This window comes from Homo sapiens, chromosome 11 (genome assembly GCF_000001405.40).
Source record: "Homo sapiens chromosome 11, GRCh38.p14 Primary Assembly".
Classification (NCBI taxonomy): domain Eukaryota; kingdom Metazoa; phylum Chordata; class Mammalia; order Primates; family Hominidae; genus Homo; species Homo sapiens.
Window position 1 is genome coordinate 73345021 of NC_000011.10, and position 25125 is coordinate 73370145.

The 25125-nt window shown below is 54.5% G+C and overlaps 1 protein-coding gene across 1 annotated transcript in view, besides 4 other annotated features; it reads left to right on the forward strand.

Moving 5' to 3' along the window:
- ARHGEF17 (Rho guanine nucleotide exchange factor 17) overlaps nucleotides 1-24368 on the forward strand; it is a 61113-nt gene extending 36745 nt beyond the window's left edge. The window contains exons 2-21 of the mRNA NM_014786.4: nucleotides 1863-1940; nucleotides 7810-7992; nucleotides 10513-10629; nucleotides 10841-10933; nucleotides 11155-11331; nucleotides 11689-11739; nucleotides 12005-12114; nucleotides 12222-12307; nucleotides 14814-14932; nucleotides 15300-15513; nucleotides 16068-16141; nucleotides 17020-17219; nucleotides 17413-17714; nucleotides 18186-18435; nucleotides 18727-18813; nucleotides 19152-19219; nucleotides 19432-19580; nucleotides 20370-20544; nucleotides 20658-20927; nucleotides 22564-24368. Coding sequence (NP_055601.2) covers nucleotides 1863-1940; nucleotides 7810-7992; nucleotides 10513-10629; nucleotides 10841-10933; nucleotides 11155-11331; nucleotides 11689-11739; nucleotides 12005-12114; nucleotides 12222-12307; nucleotides 14814-14932; nucleotides 15300-15513; nucleotides 16068-16141; nucleotides 17020-17219; nucleotides 17413-17714; nucleotides 18186-18435; nucleotides 18727-18813; nucleotides 19152-19219; nucleotides 19432-19580; nucleotides 20370-20544; nucleotides 20658-20927; nucleotides 22564-22760 — 3000 coding nt within the window. The 3' untranslated portion in view covers nucleotides 22761-24368. The remainder of the gene's footprint in view (nucleotides 1-1862; nucleotides 1941-7809; nucleotides 7993-10512; nucleotides 10630-10840; nucleotides 10934-11154; nucleotides 11332-11688; nucleotides 11740-12004; nucleotides 12115-12221; nucleotides 12308-14813; nucleotides 14933-15299; nucleotides 15514-16067; nucleotides 16142-17019; nucleotides 17220-17412; nucleotides 17715-18185; nucleotides 18436-18726; nucleotides 18814-19151; nucleotides 19220-19431; nucleotides 19581-20369; nucleotides 20545-20657; nucleotides 20928-22563) is intronic.
- Nucleotides 5534-6035: an enhancer, noted in NCBI's record as "H3K4me1 hESC enhancer chr11:73061599-73062100 (GRCh37/hg19 assembly coordinates)". NCBI's record gives its function as "activates a minimal SCP1, AML or CMV promoter by ChIP-STARR-seq in primed H9 embryonic stem cells {active_cell/tissue: H9 hESC(primed)}" and the evidence as "EXISTENCE:reporter gene assay evidence [ECO:0000049][PMID:30033119]".
- Nucleotides 17028-17534: an enhancer, noted in NCBI's record as "H3K27ac-H3K4me1 hESC enhancer chr11:73073093-73073599 (GRCh37/hg19 assembly coordinates)". NCBI's record gives its function as "activates a minimal SCP1, AML or CMV promoter by ChIP-STARR-seq in naive H9 embryonic stem cells {active_cell/tissue: H9 hESC(naive)}" and the evidence as "EXISTENCE:reporter gene assay evidence [ECO:0000049][PMID:30033119]".
- Nucleotides 17184-17478: an enhancer, noted in NCBI's record as "tiled region #4120; K562 Activating DNase matched - State 4:PromP". NCBI's record gives its function as "activates a minimal TATA promoter and a strong SV40 promoter by Sharpr-MPRA in K562 cells {active_cell/tissue: K562}" and the evidence as "EXISTENCE:reporter gene assay evidence [ECO:0000049][PMID:27701403]".
- Nucleotides 21326-21495: an enhancer, noted in NCBI's record as "active region_5235". NCBI's record gives its function as "activates an Ori minimal core promoter by ATAC-STARR-seq in GM12878 lymphoblastoid cells {active_cell/tissue: GM12878}" and the evidence as "EXISTENCE:reporter gene assay evidence [ECO:0000049][PMID:35858748]".
- Nucleotides 24369-25125: the final 757 nt, after the last annotated feature.

A 25125-nucleotide genomic window follows, 5' to 3' on the forward strand; every position in this document is an offset into this window, starting at 1 on the left:
CCATGTCTGTGGGGTGCTGAGATGTCCCTGGCGTGGGGTAGGGCAGGATTAGGCATCTGGGCCTGTCCTCGGGAGGCCTTCCTGGCCCTCCACGCTCTCCCAAGTCTCCATCCTACAGTGAGCCTTGCTCGCACTGCCTCCTTCTGGAAGCTGCCCTGGTTTTTTAGAGGTCACAAGAGTACCGAGGATAGATGGTCTGCTTGTCTCCAGAGGCTCTGAGGCTCTGGTCTGCTGTTTCCGGAGGCCCTGAGGTACCTTCCCACCCGTCAGAGCCCAGGGCTGGCAATGGTGGGCTGGCAAGGATGGGGAGAGCCAGCCCCCCTTCCTCCCTGCCCCAAGGGGTGTCCTTCACACCCCCACCACTGAGTTCCTAGCATGGGAGCTCACTTTTCTGAGTGTGCTTCATTATAGGACACTGTGGGGACAGGCCTTGCCCCTGAGTCCCTGGTCAGAGGGCAAGGGATCTGAAGTGGGTGTGCCACAAGCAGAGGGGGAGCAGTGGCTGGGTCAGGCAGGACAGGCCTGGGCTCAGGTCCACTAAAACATGAGCCCTGGGCATAGCAGTGACCAGGACAGCCCCACTGGTTGAGTTCCTACCCTGAAGGACTAGAGGTGGAGGCTGGAGGGATGCCACAGACATGGACACCCTGGCATTGCCATCTGCACAGCACTTGCTCGAACCAGTAAGCCTTGATGGCAGGAACCCGAGATACGGTCCACAGATGCTCAGGCCAAGCCGAGACCTGGGAGGGGAGGGGAGAGAGGAGAATAACCCAGAGATCTGGAGCCTAGAGGAGTTAGGGGCCTTGCCCAGGATCACTCTAGGGCTTTAGAGGGGTCAGGAGTGGAGTCTAGGGGTCTAGGGCTTGGAGTGGAGTCTCTGCCAGAGAAGGGAAGTTGTTGGGGCTGGTGCTATCTGGGAAGGCTTCCTGGAGGTGGGGATTTTGAGGGGAGAGGTGTAGGGACTGGTGGAGAGGAGCAGCAGGTAAGTTCAGTCCCAGGGGCTGAACACAAGGCATCCCAGACAGGGATGAGCACCCTGTGCCTGGGGGTGTGGGTGCAGAGGCTGTGTGACCCCTTGGGGACTCAGTAATTCAGGTCATCAGATCCATAGGTTGGAGGCATCGGTGTCTGGGTTTCCTTTTTCCCCTCCCTAACATGAAGAGAATAATAACATATACCTCACAGGGTGGCCAGGATTATTGAATAATATGTCATGCTTAGAACAGTGCCTGGCGCATAGGAGGGCATAGTTAATGTTTTTAAATGACAGAATTGGGATCCAGCCTTGTCTGAGACTGGCTGAACCCTGATACTGCCCAGCTGTGTGACCTTCAGCACTGACTTCCCCTCTCTGGTCCACAGTGTCTTCCTCTGTAGCAGGGTGATGGTGTCTACTCTTAGGGATGGTGGGCAGCCCAGCCAGGTGGGCATGTCCCCATAGCACTGAGCCTGAAGTTGGGGTCTTCAGAGATGGCAGCTGGAGTGGGTGCTGGCCTGGAGGCATTGTTCTTTGCAAATGTGAAAGGTTATTGATTTTTTTAAAGACCCTTTTTCAATAGCCTGGCAGAGGAGCCAAGAAGTGGGTGGATGGGGCAGGGGCAGAGGAGTGAGTGCCTAACTGTGCAAGGCCACGTGTTTGAGGTGTAAGTCGGGGGCAGGGGGAGCAGCTGAGCAAAGACCTGGCAGAGTGGAGGGCCTGGGGGCCTCGGGGGAACAGCCCGGAGCCCTGGGCGGCAGGAGGGAAGGGCCAGGAGGGCAGGGAGAGGGTGTGGGCGGGTTCTCTGGGCACCATGTGGCTACAGGTGATGGGGTCTGGGGGGAAAAAGACCCCTGTTCACCCTCTGCTCCTGTCCCCACAGGACATGCGGAAGCACGTGGCCATGACCCTGCTGGACACAGAGCAGTCGTATGTGGAGTCGCTGCGCACCCTGATGCAGGTGGGGCTCGGGGCCCACTCCCCTGAGAATGGCCTTTCTGAGCCTAGGAGGCTGTCAGATGGGTGTGAGCAAACCCCTTTCATGGACAAGGGACTGAGGCCAGAGAGCCGTGTCCCTGGCATCCGTCGCCTTTCCATGAAGAACCCCCAGCATGGCCATTCCAGAGAAGGAGGAAGGCTTCTCCCGGGCAAGAGAGAATGCAGAGGGGCCAGGCCACCCCAGGGCAGGCGTCCCTACCCTGCTGTTCTTCCACGTCCCCCTGGCAACCCTGACCCTGAACTTAGATCCGTGAACTCCCTCTGATGTGCCGCCTCCATTGTATTCACTGACTGGGAAGTATGAGTTGAATAGAGTTCAGTATTGAGCACCTGCTGTGTGCAGGCCCTGTTCCAGGTGCAGGAGACACAGGAATGAATAAGAGAGCCCAGCCCCTGCCACAGGAGCTCACCGCCCTGCTGAGTACGTAGTGGAGTATACGGGCACTCTAGAAACATCGAGGGGCACCTGCTAAGCGTGGGGTCAGGGAGGTTTCCTGGAGGAGGTGCTCACTTCCACCATGACCTGTCTTCTCAACAGCAGGAATAGCACATTGCAAAGCCAAGTGAGGCCTGGCACATTCGGAGGTCTACGTGGCCAGCACAGAGCACAACGCGCTGGTCCCATAGCTATGCTGTCGGAGTCGGCAGAGGCCACGCTGTGGGGGCCTAGAACACCAGTTGGAGGCAGTAGATTCTGCCAGGGTCCGTGGATGATCAGCGAAGGGCTTTGAGCAGGGGAGGTGTGTGGCCTGATTCATGCTTCATGAAGTCTGTCTGACAGCTGGGAAGGTGGGTGGCAGAAGAGGAGGTCAAGGCCATTGAGATCCGGCAAGGATAGAGGTTACAGGAAGGGAGTGCTGGGGACAGACACTCAGGAAGTGGACTGGTCAGGCCAGGCGTGGTAACTGGTTGGTTGTGGGGGGCAAGGTGGGGAAGCCCAAGATGATGTCTGGGCTCCTGGCCTCGGATAGGTGGGGCCCAGGGGAGAAGCACAACTGGAGCAAGGTGGTGAGTTCAGGCTCAGACATGAACCTGGGAAGGCCCACAGCCTGGATGCACACATGGCCTGGGGCTGGATGAGTGTGGACCTGAGCTGAAGTGGGGCCTGGCAGTCACCATTGAGGATGAATTTGCCCAAGCTAGCTGGGCAGAGTGACAGCAAAGGGTAAAGGTAGAACCTTCACCCTATGGAAACATCCAGAGCATTCACTCACTCACCATTCATTCATTCATTCACTCACTCCACAAATCCACGGTGAGCCCCTTCTGCGCTCCAGGTAGTGTTCTCTGTGCAGGGGCATTAGTGGTAAGGGCCTGTCTCCTGGAGCTCACGGTCTATGGCAGAGACTGACAGTGACCAGCCAGACATCAACACACAGTGGCATGTGGTGATGCAGAAGTGCACACACAGAGAACCTACACACAACAGGGATACGCCTTAAAAGGAGGGAAATTCTGACATCCTACAACATGGATGAGCCTGGAGGACATGATGCCAAGTGAAAGAAGCCAGTCTCAAAGGACAAGCACTGTCTGATTCCACTTGCATGAGGTTCCTGGGGTAGTCAGACTCAGAGATGGAAGGTAGGATGGTGGGTGCCAGGGAAAGGGTGCCAGGCTGGGAAAGGAGGGAATGGGGAGTTACTATTTAATGGGTGTACAGGGTTGCAGTTTTACAGGATAAAAAGAGTTTTAGAGCTGGATGGTCACACATTATGAATGTATTTAATACCATTGAACTGTACATTTAAAATGGTAAATTTTATATTATATGTATTTTACCATAAAATACAATGCGTTTGTTTATTGTTTTTAAAAAGTGCATGGGGAGATGAGAACACAGAAGGGGGCCTACCCTGGTGTCGGGGTCAGGGAGGGCTTCCCTGGGGTTGGGGTATTTAGCTGAGACCTGAAGGGTGAGTAGATTTCAGCAGAAAGAGCCCGGAGGGATGGCTCCCAGCAGAGGGTATGTCAGGGACAAAGGCCAGGAGGCTGGAAGGAACCTAGAGCAGCAGGGAACCAGAGGTGGCCAGGTGGCTGCAGGAAGGAAGGCTGCTGGGCATGGAGCTGGGCTTTCCTGTGCACGCAAGGAAGCCATGGGAGGATGCAGCCAGAATGCCAGGCAGGAGGAGTAGACATGGCAGGGGCCTGAGGGGGTCCTTTGCCATCCCCTAGATGAGAGTTGGAGGCATTAGGGTCAGACAGTCCAGGGTTGAAGTCACGTGCGTCCTCACTGGGTGATACTAGCCTAATCACCTCACCTTCTCTGAGCCTCAAGTTTGCCTGCAAAATGTAGCTAATCTACCTATCTCCCATCAAGAAGACTTAAAGGTGAGCCAGGCGCGGAGGCTCACACCTCTAATCCCAGCACTTTGGGAGGCTGAGGTAGGCGGATCACCTGAGGTCAGGAGTTCAAGACCAGCCTAGCCAACGTGGTGAAACCTCATCTCTACTAGAAATACAAAAATCAGCTGGGTGTGGTGGCAGGCTACCTGTAATCCCAGCTCCTCCAGAGGCTGAGGCAGGAGAATAGCTTGAACCCGGGAGGCAGAGGTTGCAGCGAGCCGAGATCCTGCCACTGCACTCCAGCCTGGGTGACAGAGCGAGACTCTGTCTCAAAAAACAAAACAAAACAAAAAAAACAAAAGGTGATGACGGCACCCATGCCTGTTCACAGGCAGGAGTCAGGAGCAGTGGAGAGCTGGGAGCAGGCAGGGCTTGGGCATGTCTTTCTACCTCCGCCAAATCTCCCAGACCCGTCCAGGGCTGCACTTGGGAGAGGGTGCAGGACCTGTGGGTGGAGGAAGCCAGAATGTTGGGTGAGCAAGGTGGAGGTGGACAGGAGGGTGTCACGTGAACCCAAAGACCGTCCCTGGAGGCAGCCCTGGAGTGTGGGAGGAGGACTGAGGTCTGGCTCCAGGTCAGGAGTATGACTCTGGAGCCAAGCCACCAGCATTCAAACTTGGCTCCATCTCCTGGCCAGCTGCATGACCCGGAGCATGTCACATAACCAGTCTCTGCCTCAGTTTCCTCATCTGTAGAGAGGGGATAATAATAGACCTGCCTTGAGTGCAGTTAATTAGAGACACATGTTTATAATTTAGCATACTGCCTGCAGCTCTGCAAGCATGGTAAAAAGTTGCATTTAATCTTTGTATTAACCTTGTGAGGTAGATATTATATTCTTTATACAAAGAAACGAAGACTCACAGAGGTTAAGAAACTTGCCCAGGGTCATCCATCTAGTGAGTGGTATTAGTTGACATTCACTGAGTGCCCACTATGTGCCAGGCACTGTTCTGAATGCTTTAGAACAGTGAGTAAATTCATATAAGCCTGACTATAAACCCCATTTTGCAGATGATGCAGCTGAGACACAGAGAAGTAAAGCTGCTTGTCCAAGGTCACAGAGTTAGGAAGTGCCACACCCTGGGTTGAAACCCTGTCATTGTGACTCTGGGTTCTCCCTGTCACCCACTAGTCTACACTGCCTAGAGCACAGTGGTATTCAAATTGAGATTGGACTCCATAGTCCCAGTGTTAACTTCGAACCATCACTGCCCTCACTAATTGATAAGTGTTGTTCCTGCAGGCCAGGTGTTCAAAATGAACAAAGAAGTTAAATAGAAGTTAGGAGCCAGAAGGAGGGAGGATTTGAAACTAGGTCCTAGGGCTACATCCCTTCCTCAGTGTCACCCTCACCCTCTGAGCCTATTTTCAACTCTGACACTCGAAGCTAACAAACGCCCCTTCCCCTGACCACCCTGACGAGTCCCCCTCCCCTTGGCACCCTGATCCCACTTCTCTTTTCCGTAGCACTCACTGTCTTCCACCATGCTGTATAGTAATTTACGCATTTATCGTGCTTCTTTCCTGCCTCCCACCACTCATGTGTCAGCCCCACAGGGGGTCTGTGCAGTGAGATGCCCCAGTGCTGGGCAGGCTGAGCATTGGTGAGTGAATGGGGCATTGGCTTGTGCCAGGTTCCGTATTGGGCTCTCAGTCATTGTTTGTTCTTTCCTCCTGCTGTGTGCCCGCTTCTGTGTGGGGTGCCGGGACCCTGAGGTGAGCGGTTTAGCTGCTGCTCCTGCTCCTTGTGGAGCAGCGGGCCCTGACCCAGCCCAGGAGCTGGCTCACCTGTGGGCAGGAGACTGCCTGCCTATCTCCTCACCATCATCCCGGCCTTTTCAGAATCCCCAGCCAAGAGAGAGGATTCTGTTGAGCTTTACTTTCTCAAGCTTGTTTTACAAAACAAGCCAGATTTTTAAAAATGTTTAATATAAATGTTATTGCAACATCACATATGCTTTTTCAAACAACACCCTCCTGTTTTTTTTAGCCTGCAGTTACAGCGTAGGGCCAGTAGAGGGCGACCTCTCCACAAGCGCACCGGCCCCTGAGCTGGGCTATTAAAGCTAGGGGAACATCTTTGCACGTAGATTTGACGTAAAATAACGGGAGTTTTAGTCACAGACTGGCCAGCAGGTCTGAAATCTGTATAACAGCGTTCAGAAAGTGTCAATAAGAGTCTCCAGTAACTTCCCATGTGGTCTCATGATCTCCCACGACCCTCCCTGCTCTATCTTCACACCATTATCGCCTTATTTATTTATTTATTTAGTCCTCAGGCTGGAGTGCAGTGGCGCGATCTCGGCTCACTGCCACCTCCACCTCCCAGGTTCAAGCAATTCTTCTGTCTCAGCCTCCCAGGTATCTGGGACTACAGGCGCACACCACTAGGCCCAGCTAATTTATTGTATTTTAGTAGAGACGGGGTTTCACTGTGTTGCCCAGGCTGGTGGCGAACTCCTGAGCTCAGGTGATCTGCCTGGCCTCGACCTCCCAAAATGCTGGGATTACAGGCTTGAGCCACCGCGCCCTGCCGCATTATCGCCTTTTAACTGACTACGAGATTTCCATATGTCATCCATTCTGAGACTCGTGGTCTTCGCGTTTTAATATCCCTAAATCAGGGTTCATTCTATAATTGGTAGCATATCATAATTTAATTGGCAACCAGTTTTTCTTAAATATAAAATAATGGCTGGGCGCAGTGGCTCATGCCTATAATCCCAGCACTTTGGGAGGCCAAGGCAGGTGGATCACTTGAGGTCAGGAGTTTGAGACCAGCCTGGCCGACATAGTGAAACCCTGTCTCTATGAAAAATATAAAAAACTAGCTGAGTGTTGTGGCGCAGACCTGTAATCCCAGCTACTCGGGAGGCTGAGGCAGGAGAATCACTTGAACCCGGGAGGCGGAGGTTGCAGTGAGTTGAGATCGCACCACCGCACTCCAGCCTGGGTGACAGAGCAAGACTTCGTCATAAAATAAAATATTTCTTAGATTTGATGAAATATGATATTTTAAAAAATTTCTTCCGTTTGTGTGTTTCATCAGACTAGATCCTAAGCTCTATCAGGACAGGGATTGTGGTCTTTCTTATACATTGCTGTCTCCCAATTCTTAGAACAGTGCCTGGTACGTAGTAAGTGCTCAGTAAATCTTTGCTGAGTTAGTGGTGGGAGGTCTTTCAAGGAGCCCCATCTTGCTTTCCTCATTCCAAGCTCTGTTTGTTCATACATTAAACAAACCTCTTCCTGAGCGTCCTTGCTCCCATCTTGTGCCAGGCCCTGGGCTCAGCGATGAGGGCATGAGCTTAGATCTTCCCATCTCCCTCCTGGAGCTCTTGGTCTCATGAGGGAGATGTGGAAGGCAGGGCGCTGAGCTGCAGGCCCGGGTGATTCTGTGTGCACTCACACAGGGGCCCTGTGTAGGTGTGGTGGGGGCGGCATCTCTGAGGGAGTGTGCACCGACCCTGTGGGTCCTTCAGGGCTACATGCAGCCGCTGAAGCAGCCAGAGAACTCCGTGCTCTGTGACCCTTCACTGGTGGACGAGATCTTCGACCAGATCCCCGAGCTCCTGGAGCACCACGAGCAATTCCTGGAGCAGGTTCGGCACTGCATGCAGACCTGGCATGCCCAGCAGAAGGTGGGAGCCCTGCTCGTCCAGTCGGTGAGTGGCCCCGCTGCTGCCAATTCCCACAAGCACAGGCCCTCCTGGAAGGGGCTGGATGTGGCCACGGACCCCACCCCCACCCATCCCACCTGGATACTGACTCTGTTTCCAGATCTGACCATAGAACTTGGCTAGACATTGGTACTTACCCCAGCCCCTGGGTGGACCTGAACTTGGACACTCCCCTACCCCAAAGCTTGGCCAGACTCTGGCACGGACTCCGACCCCAGCCAGACACTGACTCTGATCCTGGACCCTACCCCGCTCCTGGCTGGCACTGACGTGACTCTAGTCCTGACCCCAAGCTGGTGCGGACGCTGACCCAGACCTCAGATGGATGCTGGTACTGACCTCCACCCTATCTTTACTGGAACCAAAATAACTGCCCTGGTCCTGACCCTGGACTTGGGCTGGATGTTGATGCTGGCTGAGTCTTGACTTTTTCTCCATCAGATATTTTCATCATAATAGCATACCTGTTTGCTAGGCATTGTTCTAAATGTGTTGTATCTATCAACAGCCCTGGTAGGAGAGTGCGTTGGTTACCCTGATTCTAAAGATAGTGACTGAGACATGGAGAGATTGGTAACCTGATGAAAGTTACAGTTAGGAAGTGGTGGAGGACTCAACTCCAGAAAGCCTGGTTCCAGTGCCCCGGCTTCCCCTACCCCATACTGCCTCTCACCACAGGCCAGATCTCCACTGTACACTTGTCAAGCTCCCACAATAGCGAGTGAGATCTTAGAAAAGGTATTGACTTCAGAATTCAAAAAGAACATCGAAAGCAAAACCAATAAGCATTTAATTAAATGCCTGTAAAACATAGCATGCCATTTTCATTCATTGTTAAATTTAGTATTTATAAGAATTTAATTACATTTGAAAAACTTCCAGTTCCATTTTATTTTGCCAGAATTCCCAAGAATACACCATGATGACTGATAAATCATAGCCAAATGCAAACTAAATGGTTTCTCAGAGCCACATAATTTCAAAAGCAAAATTGTAAAAATTCTTGCAAAAATTTTACAAGTGAAAAATTATATCTATTTCTGTGGGATGTATGTTTCAATATATTTGCTATGCTGTGGGGTGGGGCCTTGAACCATCTTAGAATGTCCTTGCTGACCCAGAAACTGATGGGACCAGACAGGGGTGATGGGGTTCCAGCTTGGATTGAGTGCTGATGTCTCCAGCCCATCATCACTCTCAGTGTCAGTAAGCTCAGCCCCCTGCCTGGACCTTGATGCTGACCATGGACTACGGCGAAGCCCTGGACCCGGAGGGGTCAGCACAGGATGCTGTGTCCCAGGGTGGGGGTGGTTGGTGAGGGTTGTCTTCCTCCCTTTGCTTCTTCACACCCTGCCCTGTTCTGTCCAGAGGCAGGGGCACTTGGCACCTTAGAGGGACAGGACTCTGGCCGGGCGCAGTGGTTCACGCTTGTAATCCCAGCACTTTGGGAGGCCGAGGCAGGCAGATCATGAGGTCAGGAGTTTGAGACCAGCCTGACCAACATGGTGAAACCTCGTCTCTACTAAAAATACAAAAATTAGGTGGGCGTGGTGGCATGCACCTGTAATCCCAGCTACTCCGGAGGCTGAGGCGGGAGAATCGCCCGAACCTGGGTGGCGGAGGTTGCAGTGAGCCGAGATCGTGCCATTGCACACTCCAGCCTAGGTGACAGAGTGAGACTCCGTCTCAAAAAAAAAAAAAAAAGACAGGACTCTGAGGGGTACAGAAATATCACTAATGTGGTCACGTAGCTTATCCACAGTACAGTTGAGACAGGAACCCAGGTTTCCTGGTTCCCAGACAAGGCTTCTTACCAATAACCTCCATATTTAGTCCGCCATCAGCATCAAGCAGGTATTAGCCACCAGCTGTATGTCCTGCCCTGAGCTGGGCTTTACTGTGGGTGGGATGGGAGCACTTTTCATGGAGAGGGAGAACTTGTCCTAGGAGATCAGGAGAAGCCAGAGGCCAGGTGGCGTACCAGGCAGAGCTCTAGTCAGGGAAAGGAGTACTTCCGAGAGGAGGCAGAACTGGAGCACAGCCCTGAGGCGGGGCGAGATTTGGATGAGGAAGGGCATTCCTGGTGGGGGGATCTGCATAAGCAAAGGCCAAATGGCTAGAATGAGTCTGTGTCACTCAGAGAATGGGGAAAGGGAGACCTGCCTGGCTGGACTTCGTGAGGGTGGAGGTCTAGGGATGGAAATGCCCAGTTGGAAGTGAGAGAACCAGGTCTGAGCTCACAGGATACATTCAGGTCTACATATGTGCATACATGAACAGTCACACCCAGATAATATGAGCACTCGTATATCCATGTGTACACATGCACATACGCCTAAACACGACCACACTTAGAGCCACAGGACATGTGCCTGATCCCTTAGAGATTGTATCATTTCTAGTTGGAGGGAAAAGATGGTGACTCATGAATCAGTGAAAACTAGGACAGGGTGAGGTGGGGTGAGGGACACCTTGAGGGTCCCCAACCTGCCTCCTCCTCCACAGTTCTCCAAGGATGTCCTAGTAAACATCTATTCTGCCTATATCGATAACTTCCTCAATGCAAAGGATGCTGTGCGTGTGGCCAAGGAGGCGAGGCCTGCCTTTCTCAAGTTCCTAGAGGTACTGTGGGCTAGGGCAGGGGGATGGAGGTGACCCTCACCTTGGGCCAGCTTTGAGGGCCCCAGGAGCTCCCAGCGTGGGTACCATAGTCCCAGCCAGTGGGCCAGCCTCCGCTCTCAGGCTGAGCTGGAGAGGCTTGCTGGGGACCTGTCCCTGGACATAGTCTTCCTGGCATGTCATTCCTCACATGATGCCCATCCATGGGTTTCAGCAAAGCATGCGTGAGAACAAGGAGAAGCAGGCGCTGTCTGACCTCATGATCAAGCCTGTGCAGCGGATCCCACGCTACGAGCTTCTGGTGAAGGTGGGCATGGACCTGGGTGGGCAAGTGGGCAAGGCCTGGAAGCATGGGGGGATACAAGGAGGTCTAAGGCCCCTGCCTCGTTGAGCCTGACATCAGGGTCCCTAGGGGACAGGTAGGAAAGATAGTCCTCTTTGGTGTCTACCCATAGTCCCTCCTGCTCCAGCAGTCTGGGGCCCCAGGGGTAGCTAAGCAGTCAGGTCTGCTCCCCATTCCCACCCCAGGACCTCCTGAAGCATACACCTGAGGACCACCCGGACCATCCACTCCTGCTGGAGGCGCAGCGGAACATCAAGCAGGTGGCTGAGCGCATCAACAAGGGTGTGCGGAGTGCCGAGGAGGCGGAGCGCCATGCCCGTGTGCTGCAGGAGATAGAGGCTCACATCGAGGGCATGGAGGATGTGCGTGCGCCCTGCCCCACCCCACCCTACCCCACCCCACCCACATCTGTGTCCACTCGGCCTCTGTGTGCATCTGTGGCCACCTGGAATCGTGGCTGTGTCCATGTCCGGAACCACAGTGTGTTTGCATCCATGTCTGCCAGCCTCTGTGGCCACACGTCTCCACCTGTCTGTTCTTCCACGTCTGTCTCTGACCTTGGGTCCTGTGGCCTGGCAGCACAAGGGCATTGAGGGTGGGAAGCATGCTGCTTCCATTGGCCTAGCCCATGGAGTGGGGCCGAGGGATCACTGGGATTTTTGGAGGGGATAGGGATTAATAACTGGCCTTCGAGATGCCTTGTCCCTCCTGTCCCACAGCTCCAGGCCCCTCTGCGGCGGTTCCTGAGACAGGAGATGGTCATTGAAGTGGTAAGAAGTGTCCCAGTATCTGTCCGGCTGTCCCCACCTCCTCACTTTGTCCTCTCTTCTGCTCACACCCTCTACCTGCAGGTCTCCCTGCTCTTTCACCCCGAGGGGAGCCCTGGTCGAGTCCCCACTCTGCTCTGACTCTCTGGGAAGCTGGGGAAGAGCCCTCACTCTCCCTGGGTCTCAGTGTCCCCTTGGGCACTATGGGCAGGGGGGTGGGCTTCTGGACTGTGTCCACCCAGCCTGAATTCTGCCTTGGGCTCCACAGAAGGCGATCGGTGGCAAGAAGGACCGGTCTCTCTTCCTGTTCACGGACCTCATCGTCTGCACCACTCTGAAGCGAAAGTCAGGCTCCCTGCGGCGCAGCTCCATGAGCCTGTGAGTGGCTGGGCCGGGGTTTGGGTGGTGCCAACAGGGGGAGCATTTGTCCCTCTCTGAGCCCCACTCCCCGACCCTGGCCAGAGCGCCCCATTGGCTCCCCACAGGTACACGGCAGCCAGTGTCATTGACACAGCCAGCAAGTACAAGATGCTGTGGAAGCTGCCGCTGGAAGACGCAGACATCATCAAAGGTGGGTTTGATGCTAGGGGTTCTGGGTGTTGGGGTCTTCCTCTGAGAAGCCCTCCTGGAGGGTCTGAGCTCCAGCCAGTCTGGCTGCCTGTCCAGCTGCTTTTCCACTTTTGGGCCTCGCTCTCTCATCCAGTGCAAGGGGGCTGGCATGAAGGACCCATTTGGCACCCATGGAGCCAGACAGTCTGTCCATGTACACTTCCTTCCAACTGGGCAGGGACCTAGGCTGGCAGCGGGAGCTGGGTGGGGGTGGTGCACACAGAGCAGCATCACTGTAATTAGCCATTGATTCATCTGTGCAAAATCATTTGAGCGCCTAATATTAGATGATGTTGCACTGTCTGGTTCAGCGGTTTCACACACAGGGAACAGACACTCGCTTGAGTTACTGCAAGCAAAGGGTTGATTGGAGCCATCCATGTTGTTCAGGGCTGAGACTGTTGGGAGCTGAGGCAGCTTCCAGGAGCCGCTCCTCCTGCGGCGTCTGTCTTTCTTCCCTTCTTGCTGAGTCTGCCCTGTTCTCACTGCTGTTAGCTTTCCCTGCTTCCTCATAACTCCCGTGATCAGACCCAGGCTGGCTCCTGGCTCAGCTGGAGGGGAGCTCACCTGGAGCTTGGCCCTCAGGGTAACAGACAGGTTTGCTCGGCCCCTTGGTGAACCCAGGCCTGCCCACTATGTAGGAATACCAGCTGATTATTACTCTAATTGGTCCAAGTCAATAGAATGACCACCTTTAAGTTAGGTGCCCACTCCTGGTCCAGTCAGCTGTGAGCAAGAATGGGGCAGGGTCATATGGAAGAAAACATGGCTGCCCAGGTGGTGAGGGTTGGGATGGGACAGTTTCTGTCAAAAGGAGTAGATCGGCTTCATCTCTTCAGGCTGTTTTAACAAAAATACCACAGACTGGGCAATTTATAAACAAGAGGAATGTATTGCTCACCGTTGAGGAGGCTGGGAAGGCCAAGATGAGGGTGCCAGCAGAACTGCAAGGGGCCTGTGCCTCACAGAGGGTGCCTTCTATGTGTCCTCACTTGGCAAACAAGCTCCTTCAGGCCCCTTTATCGGCACAAATCTCATTCACGATGGTTTCCCCCTCATGACCAGGTCACCTCCCAAAGGTCCGCCTCTTTTTTTTTTTTTTTTTTTTTTTGAGACGGAGTCTCACTCTGTTGCCAAGCTGGAGTGCAGTGGCACGATCTCGGCTCACTGTAACCTCTGCCTGCCGGGTTCAAGCAATTCCCCTGCCTCAGCCTCCCAAGTAGCTGGGACTACAGGTGCGCACCACTACGCCCGGTTAATTTTTTTTTTTTTTGTATTTTAGTAGAGATGGGGTTTCACCATGTTAGCCAGGATGGTCTTGATCTCCTGACCTTGTGATCTGCCCACCTCGGCCTCCCAAAATGCTGGGATTACAGGCGTGAGCCAACACGTCAGCCAGGTCCGCCTCTTAATACCAACACACTCAGGATTCGATTTCAACCTGTGAGTGTTGAGTGGACACAAACATTCAGGCAACAGCAGAGCTGTTCCCAGCCTCGGCCTGGCAGGAAACTCCACTGCCATCCACCGGGCACACACTCTTCTTCCCGTAGACACAGTGAGACAGCCTCCCTGTCCAGCGTGACTCCATCTTACAGTTACAAAGCGTGCCCTCCCCTCCTCAGCAGGCTGCCTCTCACCCCCACGGGGTTCTTGGTCACAGGGCCACTTCAGACAGGACTTGCCAGTCTCAGGTTCCATGTCTCTAGTGCTGTCATGACCCGTCCAGGGCTGCCTTACCATTCTGCAACCTGTGGCCCAAATATTAAATTTATATACACCAATAACACATTCTATAAACTAGATTGGAGAAAAACAGGAAAAGAAACTCATTTAGGAAAAAGCAAAAAGACACTTCTTTTCCCTTGATTTCAAGACACATGTGTCCTGGCCCAAGGGTGGAGGGACAGCTCCATGTATGGACCACTGGTCCAGAATGTGCGTCCCAAGCCTTGGGTTGAGGGCGGCAGGCCGTCTGCAGGACCAGCTGCTTGGCAGTGTTCAGGTATGGGATAGGACCATAGAAATCCAGGGCACCATGCACTGCCCCCTCCTTTGTGGGGCGATGAGTCTCTTGGTCAGCACATTTGACTGCCTGGGGCTCTGCCTGCTCTGTCAGCACGCCCACGGGAGGCTGCAACGCCGCAGCAGTTCCGTGTCAGCCAGGGCCTGTGTATCGCAGAGCCAGCCACCATTTCATACTCCATGCTCTCCTGGGAATTCTCCGTGGGCCTGACATCCTGCGCCACATGGCTCTGAATCAGGCCTAGTCCCCAGCTCACAGGGCTGGGGTTCCTCAGGGAGCTGCCTGTTAACTTTTTTCCCAAGAGCTTGGGGTTTCTATGCTTTCGGTTTGTCAGGTCTCTCCCCGGCCCAGCTGCAGGCTATGCAGTGAGGGAAGGAGAGTCTGTCCCAGCCTGACCTTGTCTGTCTCTGTATCAGTCCACGGCCTTCCTCTCTCCCTCTAGGGGCATCCCAAGCCACCAATCGGGAGAACATCCAGAAGGCCATCAGCCGCCTTGATGAGGACCTCACCACCCTGGGCCAAATGAGCAAGCTCTCTGAGAGCCTTGGTTTCCCCCACCAGGTCTGTGCCCTCTGCCTGACACTGGGGAGCCAGAGGGTGGGAGGCTTCTGACCCTGTCTGAGAGATAGACAGCCCTGACATTTGCCTGAGGGAAGAGACATCCCTTTCCCTCATCTGAAGGCAAAAATCGCAGCCTCCCTGCGTATGGGGGAAGTAACATGTTCCAGGTCTGAGGGTGGAGACATAGCTGCATCCCCATCAGAGGGTGACAGAGGCCCCATCCCCCATATATCAAAGGAATCCAGGTCTGAGGGAGGAGACAGTCTCACTTGCTGTCTAAGGAGAGAGGCAGGTCCCCACACATTAAGGGCAGGTGCAGGCTCTGGTGAGATGCTGGGGCCTGAGGCCTGGGCCCTCTTCCCCACAGAGCCTGGACGATGCACTGCGGGACCTCTCAGCTGCCATGCACCGGGACCTGTCGGAGAAGCAGGCGCTGTGCTACGCGCTTTCCTTCCCGCCAACCAAGCTGGAGCTGTGCGCCACTCGGCCCGAGGGCACCGACTCCTACATTTTTGAGTTCCCTCACCCTGACGCCCGCCTTGGTTTTGAACAGGCCTTCGATGAGGCCAAGAGGAAGCTGGGTAAGCCAAGGCACATGTTGGCCCTCTCCTCCTAGAGCTTCCAGGCAGGAGGCCAGAGGCATCTCACAGCTGTCTGTGACTTCAGGAGCCAGAACCGCAGTGCCCTGTGCTCCGGCTCCACCTGGTGGGGAGGGGGGCTTCTGCAGTGAAACATCAGACTGAATAATAGCTGTGGCCTCCCTGGCAGGGAGGGGATTCCATGGATAGGGTCTCACTGTCTGCTGGACCTGCCCCATAGTGGGCACCGATAGCCAAGACCCTCGCCATACCCTCCCTACACACACTCTGAGCAGGGCTGGATCAGGGAAAGCGATTGATCAGGGTTCATGGCTTAGAAGATCCACAGAGACCTCTGGGTCTAACCCCAAGACAATACACATGGGAAAAGATTGAGGCCAGGAGCAACTGCCTTATTCTAATGTGGCTGGGATCAGGCCTTCCCCTAAAGAGACCCTGAGGGGCAGGGGAGGAAGGGGAATGGGGCAGGGGCAGGACCAGGGTGAGATGGATGCTATGCTAAGCAGGGTCCGTCTGTCTGTCCATCTCCACTACAGCATCCAGCAAAAGCTGTCTAGACCCTGAGTTCCTGAAGGCCATCCCCATCATGAAAACCCGCAGTGGCATGCAGGTATGTCTGCATCTGGGTCACTTGGGTACATGTTTTCAAAGCCAGCAGGTGTTCATGAATTTTTGTGTACGACATTGTGTATATGCCGTGAACATTGCTATTGCTCCTTATGTCTTGGAGAATTCAGCTCTCTGTACATGTGTGTGGGTGCTGCATATGTATTACATGTACACATGTATATGGGTATGCTTCGTGCATATCTGTATCTGTGCATGTGAACAAAGGTTATATGAATGATGGGAAGTAGCTTCATTTATGTGCTTGTATGAGGCTGCATACATATGTACAGAGGTTACCAGCATCACATTTTTTCTATGCATGTATCCATGATTATATCTGGGGATATGTGTGTGTACATGTAGGCATGATGCCTGTATCCCATAGGCATGAGTGCATTTGATGTGTAGAGGGTCACATGGGCAAGGTGCGGTGGCTTACGTCTGTAATTCCAGTACTTTGTGGGGCCAAGTTAGGAGGATCACATGAACCTAAAAGTTCAAGACCAGGCTAGGCAAGACCCTATCTCTACAAAAAATTCAAAAATTATCCACGTTTAGTGGCGCGCCCCTGTGGTCCCAGTTACTTAGGAGGCTGAGGTGGGAGGATTGCTTGAGCCCTGGAGGTCAAAGCTGCAGTGAGCCATGAACCCACCACTGCACCCCAGCCTGGGAGACAAAGCAAGAACCAATCCAAAAAAAAAAAAAAGGGTCCTGTGCCGCGTGTATGTGTACGCGTGTGTAGAAGGGTGTATAGGGCATCCACACACACACACCCATGCAGGCCTGCCTCCCTCCATTCTGCCGGGGTTTCCCAGGAGTGGGGAATGCTGGCAGCAGTTCCTCCATTCACCTTCTCCTGTCCATTGGCGCCTCCTGCAGTTCTCCTGTGCGGCTCCCACCCTGAACAGCTGCCCGGAGCCCTCGCCTGAGGTATGGGTCTGCAACAGCGACGGCTACGTGGGCCAGGTGTGCCTGCTGAGCCTGCGCGCCGAGCCGGACGTGGAGGCCTGCATCGCCGTCTGTTCCGCCCGCATCCTCTGCATCGGGGCGGTGCCCGGGCTGCAGCCTCGCTGCCACCGGTGAGGCCTGGGCGGCGGGGTGGGCGGCACCGCGGGCCTGGGAGAACCAACCCCTGTCCCAGCACACTCTCAGGCCGCCCCGGCGTGGTTGTGGGCGGGGCCCGGCGAGTGTGGGCGGGGTCGGTGGGCGTGTCCACCACCGGGGCCCCGTCTGGCTCGTAGCTGCTGTCATCCTCACTCCGTCTTCTCGCAGGGAGCCTCCTCCGTCGCTGAGGAGTCCTCCAGAGACGGCACCGGAGCCCGCCGGGCCGGAGCTGGACGTCGAGGCCGCTGCAGACGAGGAAGCCGCGACGCTCGCGGAGCCGGGGCCGCAGCCCTGCCTTCACATCTCCATTGCAGGCTCGGGCTTGGAGATGACGCCGGGCCTCGGCGAGGGTGACCCCCGCCCAGAGCTGGTGCCCTTTGACAGTGACTCTGACGATGAGTCTTCGCCCAGCCCCTCGGGGACGCTGCAGAGCCAGGCCAGCCGGTCCACCATCTCCTCCAGCTTTGGCAGTGAGCTTTGGCCATCTCCTCCAACTTGGCCTTGGCAGGCAGGGTGGACTGCCCAGAGGAGGGGGAGAGGAGGGACCAGTGTAGGGCAAAGGCATGGCGTCAGACCTCAGGATGTTAGCACACAGAGCAATGAGGGCAGGGGATGTGACACCAAGGATCCAGAGGACAGTGGGACAGTCAGGCGGGATCATGAAGACCCTGGAGCACTCAGCTAAGGAAGATGGGGTGCTGGTGGAGTGGGGACCCACGGTGTGGCCACTGGGTCTGAGGGGCCAGGCAAGATCAAGGATTCTGTAGTGCTGAGCTGTCGGTGAGCAGGGCAGCAGGGCAGCAGACCGGAGCAGGCCGGGGAAGAACAGCTTTGAGAGGCCTTCCGGAGGGGCATGGCCAGGAGGGATGCATGGCCTAGAAAGATATCAGGTCCCAGGCCTGGCAGAGGGAAATGGAGACAGAGACCTTTGTCTCCCTCAGATGAGGAGACCCCGAGTTCCAAGGAGGCCACGGCAGAGACCACCAGCTCAGAGGAGGAGCAGGAGCCAGGCTTCCTGCCACTGTCTGGCTCCTTTGGGCCTGGTGGTCCCTGCGGCACCAGCCCAATGGATGGGAGAGCCCTTCGCCGCTCCAGCCACGGCTCCTTCACCCGGGGCAGCCTTGAGGACCTGCTGAGTGTCGACCCTGAGGCCTACCAGAGCTCCGTGTGGCTGGGCACTGAGGATGGCTGGTAGGGACAGGGGAGGGACTAGGGACACAGTGCCAGAACTCTGAGCTCCCTGCTCTGGAAATCATGTGGTCCCCTGGAGCCAAGGCAGGAGGGCTTTGGGTCACACCTCAGGGGTACTGCTGACCAGGGATGTCAGTGGGTCTGACAATCCCAGGGAGGCTGTGGGACCTCAGTACCTTGGGCAGGCACCCAGCATTGAAGACGTGGTGCTAGGGGCAAAGAGGTGGAGGGATGACTCCAGGGGCTGGTGTGCCCCAAGCATTTGTCCCAGGTGCATACCCCGATCCACAGTGTCCACGTGTACCAGTCCTCCGACAGCATCCGTGACCGCAGGAACAGCATGAAGCTCCAGCATGCGGCCTCTGTGACCTGCATCTTGTAAGGCCCCAGGGTGGCCCTTCCTATCTAGACTCTTCTCAGCCACACGTGCAGGCCTCCTTCTGTTCATCTGGTCCCCCTGCTCTACTGTCCCTCCTCTGTGTGGAGGCTGGAAGCCAGAGGCCTGGCCCTAGGCTAGCTGTGCCTCTTACACACTGTGTGAGCTCGGGCAAGTCACCCCCTTTTCTTAGCCTCAGGCAACCCCCACCTGGAGAACAAGGGGTGGGAAGAGGTGGCCTCTCGGGAGCCATACCCATTCTATCTGTGGTTCCCCTGGTCCTGGGTGACCCACTTTGGCTGCCTGAACTCCCTTACTGCTTCCTCTTTTCCCTACCCAGGTATCTGAATAACCAGGTGTTTGTGTCTCTGGCCAATGGAGAGCTTGTGGTCTACCAAAGGGAAGCAGGTGAGTATCTGCCCTCCCCCACACCCTGCCCCTGTCCCCTTACTGGTGTTGGGGCTCTCTCCTGGAGATGTGGCTTTGGGCAACTCCCAGGCCCTCTGTGGGCCTTGGTTTCTTTGCTTATAAAAGGGGAATGTTAACATCTCATTTCAGGGGAGACCGAGGCTCAAATTTAGAACTGGAGTGAATTTCCTGTTTTCTTTACCCCACTCCAGGCCATTTCTGGGACCCCCAGAACTTCAAATCAGTGACCTTGGGCACCCAGGGGAGCCCCATCACCAAGATGGTATCTGTGGGTGGGCGGCTGTGGTGTGGCTGCCAGAACCGAGTCCTTGTCCTGAGCCCTGACACGCTGCAGCTGGAGGTAGCAGGGGGTGGGGGAATGGAATTGGTGCCATGGGATGAGCTAGGTCCGTGTGACAGGGAGATGGAGACCATGGTAGGGGCATAAGCAGCATCCAGCAGAGGGCTAGGGCCTTCCTCTGACCACAGAGTGACGCTGGCCAGTCCCTGTCCTCCTTCGATCCTCATTTCTTCTGTAGCTGATGAGGAATACAGTAAGTGTCCCATATACATTAGGAATCTTATTCATCCTCCTGCCCACCCTATCTCTCAACTCAGGTTTTAGGGTCCTTTGGGGATAGGACAAGAGTCCTTTCTGATGTCAACATCCATTAGCATTAGACTCTGGCATTTATTGCTGCACATGTCACTTGCACACATGTCAGAAGTATCCAGGGGCAACGGGTTCCCTTAATTTCCCTCACTTATTCCATTGTTGGCTGGGCAGGAGTCCAAAGCCCTGGGTTCAGGCCCCAGCTCTGTGACTGACTTGCTGTGTGACCTTTCCCTTCTAGGCTTCAGCTTCCCCACCTGTCCAGGGGGAGGCCAGTGACTGATTTTAGAACCCTTTAAGCATTGAAGTTCTCTGATCCTTAAATCACTCAAGTTTAATGGGGAAAAAGCACCTCCATTGTAATTCCTGAGAACTAAGTTGGGAGGTGCTGGTGAAACCAAGCTTCGAAAGGTTAATCAGACCAAGGACCAACGCTAGTGTGAGTTGTGAGGGATGGACACTGGTGAAGCTCCAGGCTAGGGTGGGCCAAGGGAGGCAGGCCTGCCAATGACCCATCTTCTCCCCCGCCTTCCCCAGCACATGTTTTACGTGGGTCAGGATTCAAGCCGCTGCGTGGCTTGCATGGTGGACTCCAGCCTGGGTGTGTGGGTGACATTGAAAGGTAGTGCCCACGTGTGTCTCTACCATCCAGACACCTTTGAGCAGCTGGCAGAAGTAGACGTCACTCCTCCCGTGCACAGGATGCTGGCAGGTACTGACCTCAAACTACCACAGCACCCTCCTTGGAGCCTTTCTGCCCGATCGTAGAGGCGGCTGAGCCAGGGCCAGAATTCAGCCCCAGCTGTGGTCTGTCTCCCACCCCAGGCTCGGATGCCATCATCCGGCAGCACAAGGCTGCCTGTCTGCGAATCACAGCGCTGCTGGTGTGTGAGGAGCTGCTGTGGGTGGGCACCAGTGCTGGTGTCGTCCTCACCATGCCCACTTCGCCCGGTACTGTCAGCTGCCCACGGGCACCACTCAGTCCCACAGGCCTCGGCCAGGGACACACCGGCCACGTCCGCTTCTTGGCTGCAGTCCAGCTGCCAGATGGCTTCAACCTGCTCTGCCCAACCCCACCACCTCCCCCAGACACAGGTGGGTCAGTGCATCATACCCCAAGCTAGGGATCATGGACATTTGGTTTAGGACTCCCCACTATCCTGCCAGAAGAGCTTTCAAGAGGGAGGAAAAGTGTCACATAGAGCTGGAGGTGGCATATGTGACAGGAAATACACCACGGAAGTGTCCAAATGAAATCTAGGATAGTTGTGTGTGTGTGTGTGTGTGTGCGCACCTGCATGTGTTGTGTGTATATAAAGTTCTATCCAGAGAAATGTCATGAGAGACAGGGAGGGAACTATAACCTAAGAGGTAGAATATGTCACAAATAGAATATGTATATAGAAAATATGTCCTGTTGTATATATTTCCTATATGCACCAGGAAATAGCACAGGACTAGAAATGATATATAGGGCAGGAAGTGGAATCAGGAAGTGATGCACAGAGCAGGAAATAGAAATAGCAACAGAAAACAACATAGAATGGCACTAGCACAGAAAATGGACTGATAATTAGAAAGTGAAACAGCCGGGTGCCAGGCGCGGTGGCTCACACCTGTAATCCCAGCAGTTTGGGAGGATGAGGTGGGAGGATCGCTTGAGCCCAGGAGTTCAGGACCCAGCCTGGGCAACATGGTGAGACACCATCTCTACAAAAAATACAAAAATTAGCCATGTGTGGTGGCACACACCTGTGGTTCCAGCTGCTCAGGAGGCTGAGCTGAGGTGGGAGACTCACTTGAGCCCAGGGAAGTCGAGGCTGCAGTCAGCAGAGATTGCACCACTGCACCCCAGCCTGGGTGACAGAGTGATACCCTGTCTCAAAAAAATAAAAATAAAAATATGGCCGGGCGTGGTGGCTGACACCTGTAATCCCAGCACTTTGAGAGGTTGAAGGGGGTGGATCACCTGAGGTCAGGAGTTCGAGACCAGCCTGGCCAACATGGTGAAAACCCATCTCTACTAAAAATACAAAAACTAGCTGGGTGTGGTGGCGGGCGCCTGTAATCCCAGCTACTCGGGAGGCTGAAGCAGGAGAATCACTTGAACCAGGGAGGCGGAGGTTGCAGTGAGCCAAGAGTATGTGCCATTGCACTCCAGCCCAGGCAACAAGAGCAAAATTCCGTCTCAAAAAAAAAAGTGAAACAGCAGGAAATGAGGTACATCAGGAGGCCACAACCAGAAAAGTCTTGCTTTGGCAGGACAAGAAATGATATTCCCAAGAGGAAGTGGCTGTGGAAATCAGGAAGCAATAAAGCCTCGGGTCAGGAGTTGTCTGGGTTCACAGAAGACTTAAGCTACCTGGGAAAGGGCTGTTGGAAGTAGGAGGCTTATTTAATGCAAGGACGTTGCGTGCAGTAATCAAGAGAGATAGAAAGTGGCATCTTACAGGGCACTTACATTGTAAAAAGAAAAAAATCAGAAGTGGCGTCACCTTGGGAAATTATGTGACTCCTGACTAGAGATTACAGATGGGACATAAGAAGTCTGGCTGCCAAGAAGTGGGCATTTCTTTCTAAATAAGTTCCTAGCTAACAGAAAGTGGGATTCCCCCATAGGAAGTGTGCACATCTTCCTTCCTATCTTCTGGGGTGTGGGAATTCAGGCCCCGATGGGACAGTGAAGCCTCCATTCGCCCCCAAGCTGACAGATCCTCCCCTCTGCCCCCAGGCCCCGAGAAGCTGCCATCACTGGAGCACCGGGACTCCCCTTGGCACCGAGGCCCCGCCCCTGCCAGGCCTAAAATGCTGGTTATCAGTGGAGGTGATGGCTATGAGGACTTCCGACTCAGCAGTGGGGGCGGCAGCAGCAGTGAGACTGTGGGTCGAGACGACAGCACAAACCACCTCCTCCTGTGGAGGGTGTGACCCTGTCTGCCGTGGCCCAGGACTCGCCCGCCCACCTGCCTTCAGCCTGCTTGCCTCTCCCTAGCCCACACGCAGACTTTGACCAGGAGTATCCAGCCAGGGGCACACATGTGCCTGCGTGGGCTCTGCCTTGTCTTCGCGGAAGCATTCCTGATGGAACACCCACTGGCCAGCCAGGCCATGGCTTCTCCCGACCCTCTGGCTGCCCCGGTGCTTCCAGTCATGATCGGGTGGGGGACATGTGGGCTGACCAGGACCTCTGACCCTGGAGCTTCTACCAAAGACACAGCTGGGTCTGGACCCCACGGGGCTGGGGAGGGCCATGTGCAATATTTGGAGGGTTTTCTGGAGGGCAGCAGGAAGGCTGGGGAATTCCCCATGTACAGTATTTATGTTTCTTTTTAGATGTGTACCTTCCCAAGCACTTATTTATGCAGTGACCTGGTCACCTGGGGTGGGGGTGATTTGAGGAAATGACATGAGGAAAAGAAACCTATTCCTGCCCTGGGGACCACCCTGGGACTCTAACCAAGCCTTCCTGGAGGGACCCATGCGCCCCTGAGCCCCATTCCATTCATACAGACACACACGTACGCACACTGCATGTCCAAGGCCCTAAACATTGCCCGTTGACATAAACTTTCCAGGGCCCCAGCCTGATGGGGCTGCCCTCAGTCCTCTAGATCAAGATGCTGACTATTAGGGGGCAGTGATTGCCATCTGGGGACCTGTCAGGCTTTGTCATTTCCCAGTTTGTTGGTGGTGCCTTTAGTGGTTCCCTAATTTGGGAACACTGATGGGGCCTTGGACAGGGCTTTCTCTCAGGTAGGAGAAATGGGCCCATGATCTCCTCACAGTCGCCCCCAGTCCTTGGCCCTGCTTCCCTGTGTCTCATGCACTGGCACATATGGTCACCTTGGAGGGCAGACCTAGGAGCCCCTCTGACCACTGAATCCGTCTCCACACCCCTTCTGCCAAGGGAAGCCCCTTCAGGAAGGACCCCCCAAAGCTGAGGGGCTGAATGTAGCCTTTTCAACAGAGAAGGCTCCCACTTGAGAGCAGCCTCTACCTGACCCCCTGGACCACAGAGAGCCACTCTGACCCTCAGCCCCCTCGCTTCTTCAGCTAAAACTCCAAAGGTTTGGTTTCAGATGGGGTTTGTTTTGTTCTGTTTGGTTTTGGTTTTGTTTGGGGTGGGTGGGTCATTGCGGTCTTAGATTATGTTTCTCTTGCTACCAAACAGTCATGTATTAACTCTCTTTGGATGATGAAGTTTAAAGAGTCAATAAATAGAAACACCAGATGACTGCATTGGTGGCCACAGTGGCCTCCTGTCAGCAACCTCAGGGCTCAGTCTCCCTGGCCACATGGGCCTTCCGACGTCCACACACTTGGGAAGAAGGGAGGCCTTGGAGACCCAGAAGAGTGCTGGACGGCGAGGTTGCCACGATTTGCTGTGTTACCTGGGCAGGTGGCTGGGCTGCAGTTTCCTCATCAGGAAAATAAAGGGGTTGTACCAGTTCAGTGCTTTGTAACCAGGGTTACATGGTAGAATCCCTTGCAGATGACATGTAAATGCAGAAACATGATTCGTAACTTATTTACGTATTAATTGAGAGCTTCTGAGTCAGTGGGCCTGGATGGAGCTTGGGAATCTGAAGCTGACATGCTCCAGGTAAAGAGCCAGGACCCCTGTTGAGCCTGTCTACGGCTCCTCCAGGAAACAATGTTCTCCAGCAAAGCCTCAGCTGGAGAACCCTGATGAAGGCCAAGGCCCTGCTCCAACCCTCTGAAGTGTTTGGAGCAGGGATAGAATCCAAGTCTGTCTGATTTCTGGTCTGAAGAGGTCTGTCATTAAATCAGACACAAGAACGCACAGGCCCAGCAACATGGGACTATTCTGTGCAAGGACAGAGAGCCCTCCAGACCAGAGTGCACCTGCAGAACTAGAGGTGGCCATCACTAGAAGGCATGTCGTGCCTCAGCTCTGCTACACGCACGAACGTTTCCAGCCTAAATGACTGACTTTTGAGTCAGCCCCTGAAGGGGCATGCAAGCTCATGCTCTGCAAACTGGCAGCACACCTCTCAGGGGTCTGCTGGGTCCTCAACACCACAGGACGGGCATGGACCGTCTCCGTGCAGCATCATTTTACTGGGGCTATCTGGGGAGGAAGGGATTCTATTAATAAGCACAGATATATTATGGAGTAGGAGGCATCATTCATGTGGAATATATAACGAAACAAAGCATTAGAAGAAACACAGGCTTTGAAGCTGGACAGACCTTGTTTGAGATCTTGACTTTGCCGCTAACTAGCTATGTGCCTTTGGGCAAGTTGTATCCCCTCTGAGCCTCCATTTCC